This window comes from Homo sapiens, chromosome 18, assembly GCF_000001405.40.
Source record: "Homo sapiens chromosome 18, GRCh38.p14 Primary Assembly".
NCBI classification, from domain to species: Eukaryota; Metazoa; Chordata; class Mammalia; order Primates; family Hominidae; genus Homo; species Homo sapiens.
In genome coordinates, this window is record NC_000018.10 from 58,013,546 (window position 1) to 58,020,615 (window position 7,070).

The 7,070-nt window shown below is 40.0% G+C and overlaps 1 pseudogene, besides 1 other annotated feature; it reads right to left on the minus strand.

The window, feature by feature from the left end:
- Nucleotides 1,720-1,949: an enhancer, noted in NCBI's record as "active region_13381". NCBI's record gives its function as "activates an Ori minimal core promoter by ATAC-STARR-seq in GM12878 lymphoblastoid cells {active_cell/tissue: GM12878}" and the evidence as "EXISTENCE:reporter gene assay evidence [ECO:0000049][PMID:35858748]".
- HMGN1P30 (high mobility group nucleosome binding domain 1 pseudogene 30) lies at nucleotides 4,120-5,516 on the minus strand (annotated as a pseudogene).

Here is a 7,070-nt window from a genome sequence, read left to right on the forward strand (position 1 = left end):
TTAGTTTCTCCCTGCCTGAAGCTTCTTTAATCTGTAGGCTGTGGGCACCACCTTTAAAGTTTTGACTCACATTATCTATCCCAAAGTAAATAATGACTAAAGTGGTGGCAAAGTCAACACATTCTTTGAAAGACAATGAATCTGGGTGTTGAATGAAATCAGATGCCAGGAATATATACATTGTTGTTACAACGCTATTACACAACAGGCCTTAGAAGAATTCCTTTTCTCCAGGTAAAAACTACCCCCGTACCAGTTACTCTGGGTGAAGAAAGGCGTCTATGTTTGGCAAGGACTAAGGAATATTTGACTTCATGAATCAATAACTATTCTCAAAGCTGCTATTGACCTCTGATCTGCAAATCTGTCAGCAAAGAGAGATTATGGTAACTATACTGCTAGTAAAATGCAAACCTGTTGGTTAAACATTTGCTGAAAGCCCTGCTAGTGACCCCTGTTAAAGTGAACCAAATTTGGCCACGTGTTCTTGCAATGTTCTGGAACATCAGAGAAAAATAACTGCCTGACCCAACACAGCTTAGCTCCTAGAGAGCTAAGAGATTTCTCTGGGCCAGAAGCGTTGGCAGGGATCATTCCTTTCTCAGTCTCTCTCTTCTACCACTGGGCCCGAGTTAGTGGGATCTGTTAGGAGGTTTTTGAATAATAATGACTGTTCTCAATCCTTCTGAAGATTCTCAAAATTAATTTCTTCTCAAGAGTGCTTCTACCCCACACAAAGAAAAGGTGCAAGAATGTTTTTTCTTATTCCTTCATCTCCCTCAATGCCTATCATAGTGTTTGGCACACAATAGGTCTTAAATACTTTAAAAATGAACAAAGTGTTCTTTCCACTGTGCTCCACCTATACATTGTACAACCATCTACTTGAACACTTACCATGCTGAATTTCGTGGTTTATTTATATGGCTATTTCACTTTTTTATTTTTATTTTTTGAAATAGATTCTTGCTCTGTCACCCACACTGGAGTGCAGTGGCACGATTATAGATCACTGTAATTGCAAACTCCTGGGCTTAAGTGATCCTCCCACCTCAGCCTCCCAAAGTGTTGGGATTACAGGTATGAGCCACCATGTCCAGCCAGCTATTAACCTTTCTGTGTTATGTCTTTCAAAAGAAAGATTCTTTGTCCTATTCATCATTGTTTCTCCATCACTTGTTACAGAACCCAAGGGTTATGGGCTTGGTTCATCCTTTCTGAGGAAGTGGGGTAGCAGATGATAGCAAGATAACCCTCGTTTGTAAATACCTTAGTGATGGACTTAACAATCTCTTCTTTAAAAATATAAGTGCAATAAGACCTTGACTAAAAGAGTAAGGTTCAGAATTTCCTCATAAAAGGTTCAGCTACACGTTAAAAGGAGAATTGGATTCCAAAGTTTAAAGTGATTCTATGAAAGCCTTTATTAATATTTTCTGTGTTCACTGAAGGAAAATGAGCAGCTGAGAGCATACTAAATAAGAAGATACCAATGATGCATTACACATCTTTAATTAGTACTAATGCGTGCTATGTAATTAATCCAATTTAGCATCCCTTCTCCACTAGAAACATCTCTCTTCCCTGCAGTCTCCACAGAATGGTATAAATGTGTCCTGATTTACTGCAAATAAGGTGCTTTCACTTCCTCACAGTGGTTCCCTGTCATGCAAATGCTCTCCACTTTCTGTTCTTGTGAGCTGGGGCTGGTCCCCTGGGTAACCTACAGAAGACCCAGACGATTTGGGGTAACTTTGGTTTCCTCTAGTTGGCCTAGCTCAGAAGACATTTCTCAAGTTCCTTTTCCAAGATTACGCAGATTCGACTCCATCCCTGCTAACTTAAAAGTCCAACTACAGAGGCCACCCGTTCCCCACTCGTATCTCAGCTCCTACCTCGTAACAGACACCAGAGTACGCTCCAACTTCTGGCCTCATTTTCCTTCAATATAATTAGCCGCACATAAATGCCCTTCTTTATTTTCTACCACTAGTTCCCATTCTGAGAGTTGTAAATCATCTCAGCTCGAATTGCCCCTCTTTCGTAATATTTCAAGTTGGGCTATTAACCAACCACCATCCCTTATTCTCTAAAACCCAGGCAATATAACATGACAGTTGATGATATAGCGAATTGCTCGTTTGACCAGGGACTTGAGATAATACAGTATACAAAGTTGAGCAGTGACTATCTTTTTGATATAGTAGCTTAAAAAATCACTTCCATGCTTCAGAATGCAAAGCAATGTGCATATTGCATTACATACTCTGCTAAGTCAAAAAAGAAGATGAGATTCCCTTTTCCACCCCAAAATGTATTCAGGAAGGATAAGAAAAGAACAAAAATGACTATAGAAGAAGACAATAGCAGAGTCTAGATCAAGGACTAAAACTGGCTATAATCAATCTCACAAGAAACAAAAACGAATGTATGTTCATTGTTTCTTAGGAGCATGACCTTTTGGAGAAAAGTCTGGAAATCTGACCTTTGGCAGAAAAGATGAAAAACTGATCTAACACCATTTTTCTTTGAGAAAAGCTCTTCTCTACACTATATCTGAAGAGCAAAACTTGAACTCATCTATGTCAGGGCCAGGGCTGTGACTAGCCATATAATATTTCTGTGGGAATTTTTTTTTTTTAATTGCTTTCTTTCCTCCAGCCAGATGCAACCCCTCACCAGGCACGTGGCCTGCTAAATTGAATACAAGCCACATTTTAGCCCCTTTATCCCCTCAGCCAAAAACCTTTGAGCAGTGACTAAACTGCACCATCTTTCATAACAACCCTCATTAACACCCTACTCAAATTCTTTCAATGGTTTGTTACTGCTCTCAAGGTAAAATTCAGGTTTCATATTGCAGCCCCAATCTCACTCTCCTCTCTTCTGGAACTGTGATAGACAAATGTGAGACTTTTTAATTCTGTCTTTTGTATCTTGTTATGCCCCTTTTATATTTTTCATCTCATGTGCTGCATTCTGCATAATTTCTCCAGCCCTGTCTTCCAGTTCATTAATTCTCTCATTAACCATGCCTAATGCTTAATATACCCACTAAGTTTTAAATTTCAATCACTTAATTTTTTGTCTCTGTAAATTCAAATTTTAAAATCTGCTGTATCATTTTTATTATTTTCTATACCCTGAAAATATTTTCCAGCTTGTCTATTTGTTTGTTTATCTGTTTCTGAAGTAGTAGGCTTAGTATTGTAAGAAATCCTTTTTTTCTTTTTTCCTTTGAGACAGGATCTTGCTCTGTCGCTCAGGCTGGAGTGCAGTGGCATGAACACAACTCACTGCAGCCTCAACCTCCCTGGACTCAAGTGATCCTCCCACCTCAGCCTCCTGAGTAGCTGGGACTACAGGGGAGCAGCTAATTTTTTAGTGTTTTATAGAGAGAGGGTTTCACCAATGTTGCCCAGGCTGGTATCAAACTTCTGGGCTCAAGCAATCCACTCGCCTTGGACTTCCAAAGTGCTGGAATTACAGGTATGAGTCACCATGGCTGGCCTTAGGTAATTTCAATATCTAAAATTTTGTGGGTCTGTTCTGCTGTGGGTTGTTTGTTTTTCTTTTTAGTGTTTATTCATTCATTAATTTATTACTGTGAGCTATGCATTTTCCTTAGAAAATTATTTGAGGGAATTGCTTGAGGCCTCAGATGAAGGTGGGGTTCTCTGATATTTACATTTGCTTCTGTCAGGTTCCTGAAACTATTACCAGTCTGGAACAATTCTAAAATGAGTTTATAGCTTGAGGTTTTCTGGACTGCCTGGGTGATGTGAATTTGGGCTGCAAACCCATGAGAAGACTTGTTTTCCATTATAGTGTCCTTGGGCCAGAGGATTGATTCCTCCTGATGTGCTCAGGTCCAAGAAGACTTTCCTGGAAGGCAAGGCTATTTCTGGTTCATCATTAAACATGAAAGGTATAGTCCTTTAGGGCCTCAAGGTTGTGTGTGGAAGATCTTACATTAGATTATTTGCTTGAGCAAGCCCTGGGCTTTGTTTTTTGTGCTCCTTCATCCAAGGGACCTTGACAACTGAAGTCCAATTTCAGAAAGCACTCTCCATGTTCTATATATTTTGGAGGGTTTCTCCCTTTATGTAGATTTTTTTTTATTTTCATAATTGAGATTTTATTGGTTGAGGATCAGTACAGACATTTCAATTTGTACACAATTCTTAACATATGTAATGAAATTCTAAAAAGCCATGTATTGTAATTAATTCTTTTTTAAAGTTATTCCAGTGACTTTCCAGCTTAAAATTTGGAAGCAAATTTTCCTTAAGAGGCTATCAAGTACTGGTATCTTCACACGTTGGTCAGCTGTTACATACAGCCCACCTGAATAGCACATACGGCCACAACTGAATAGCACGTACACTGCATATTCATATTTGTAATCTTTCACAGCACAGTAACAATGTTATTAGGAAAACAGGACTACCAAAACCAAAGATGTTACAGAGTGCACACAATTCTGACAGGGAGAGCCATGATCAGAGTGGTTTTCTTTAGGAAACAATTCTACTAAAAAACAACATGGGAATAGAAGTAATTTAAAATGTTCAAGACATTAAACACAGGACTGACTCCATATTGCCATTTAATATGCTTTGTATTATAGGATATAAAAACTAACCCCCCATCTATGGAATATTAAGCTGACACCCGAGATAGTCAGAGCCTCCCGTAATTCAATATCCCACACTATTTTCTGGTTGTACCAAAAAAGAAACAGCCAGCAAATGATTTCACCTCTTAAAAAAAAGCATTTACATTTAAAAAAAAGGGATGAGGTGGGATTCCTTCCTTCTTAAAAATGTTTCAGCCGGGCGCGGTGGCTCACGCCTGTAATCCCAGCACTCTGGGAGGCCGAGGCAGGCGGATCACCTGAGGTCCGGAGTTCGAGACCAGCCTGACCAACATGGAGAAATCCCGTCTCTACTAAAAATACAAAATTAGCTGGGCATGGTGGTGCATGCCTGTAATCCCAGCTACTCTGGAGGCTGAGGCCGGAGAATGGCTTGAACCCGGGAGGCGGAGGTTGCTGTGAGCCGAGATCACGCCATTGCACTCCAGCCTGGGCAACAAGAGCGAAACTCCGTCTCAAAAAAAAAAAAAAAAAATGTTTCTAGAGCTACTAAAAAATTTGCATTTACAGAATAGCTGATAAAAATATTCCTCTGGATTGTACAAGAAGGGAGACAGGGACCACTGATAAGACATGGTATATGGTATTAATCAGACTTGGCTTCTTTCTCTCCTGCTTCATCAGAGGCTGGACTCTCCTCAGTTTTCGTTTCCCCATTTTCTGCAGGTAAATCTTCTTTAGTTTCTTGGTTAGCCACTTCAGTCTGTTTTCCCTTTGCTCCCCTTTTCCCTTTTGTTTGCACTTTTTTGTCTGAAGATTTATCCTTCGCTGCTGCCTTTTTCGGCTTTGCTTCCACTTTTGCAGGAGGTTTAGCTGACAACCGTGCTGATCTCCTCTTGGGCTCTTCCTTGGCGCCCCCCACCCCACCTTTATGTAGATTTTTAAACTAACTCAATAATGCTAGCTGGGCCTGGCACAGTGGCTCATGGCTGTAATCCCAGCAGTTTGGGAGGCCGAGGTGGGCGGATCACCTGAAGTCGGGAGTTTGAGACCAACCTGGCCAACATGGTGAAACCCCATCTCTACTAAAAATACAAAAATTAGCCAGGTGTGGTGGTGGATGCCTGTAATCCCAGCTACTCGGGAGGCTGAGGCAGGAGAAACGCTTGAACCCAGGAGGCAGTGATTGCAGTGAGCCAAGATCATGCCGCTATACTCCAGCCTGGGCGACAGAGTGATTCTCCTTCTCAAAAAGAAAGAAAGAAAAAGAAAAGAAAATAATAAAATAAGTGCTAGCTGCAATTATTTCTACTATCTTTTTTTGGTTACTCATGAAAACAGTCTACTTTTAAAAAGCATGGGCTAAAAAAAGAGGGGGCTAGAAACTATCTGGAACAGTAAAGTATGTCGATGTTTTAGCTTTTCTTTTTTCTGAAAATATGTGTGATGTGTTTAGATGAGAACCAGAAAAAGGCTTTTCACTGTGTCTGTACTGTTATTCTTTTCATTCCATGGGGTGTTACTTTAGCACTTAACTAGAGAAGATGTACACACAGTTATAGAAAGAGCTCGGGGCTCCTCATAGCCCATCAGATTCCACCATTTGATTTACACTGAGTGAAATGGATTATAAACATTTATAAAAGTCACCAGAGCAAAGGAATAAAGTGTCCTGAGGAGCACCAGGAAAAGAATCAACATTTTAGACTAGAAATATGCTCACCAAGTATCTGGGGAGTAAAATGCAAACCACAGTATGTGCAGTTTGGAAATATTGTATTTGTTTTACATATCAGCCTTTACACAGGTCTTCCAAACTTGCAGACCTGGGCTTTAGTTGATTTCCACTCATGCAGGCCTTACTCATCATCATTTCAAATGTTGCCATCACTATATATTACCATCTTCCACTGTGGCTTATATATCATGCTGCCTGGATCAGGGATGTTGTAGAAGTGAGTTTGCTCCTCCAGTGGATTTCAGGCCAACTTTTCCTATGTCATGTCTAAAGCCAAAAAAAAAGAAAGAATGTTATAAAATGGGTAACACTTCCCTATACTGATGCTGCAGTATGGTGGTTATATACGTGAAAGAAAAAAAACTGCAACAAAACAAAACAAAACAAATGAAAACCTGTTTTGTTCCTAGTGGGATAATGCCCCTGTGCTTTGTCAGCCAGCCATGGCATAACTGCCAATGTGCTGTCAGTCACATCTGCAGGGAGAAAGAGCATGCCTGTGTTTATTTGCATGACTTGGTTATTTTTTAAGTCTCCCCAGGTTATTGTAACATGTTGGAAAGGCTGAGAATTGCTAACTCTCATTATTGTGGAGTAAATTTTAATAGCCCTTAGGCTTGACAAATCATGTTTCTAGCTGATAATAGGAGAGATATTATTATCCCCAACTTACAGATGTCGAAGGCAAGGCTCAAATTATTTAAAGGCCTATTAGGGCTTAAGATTAATCACTGC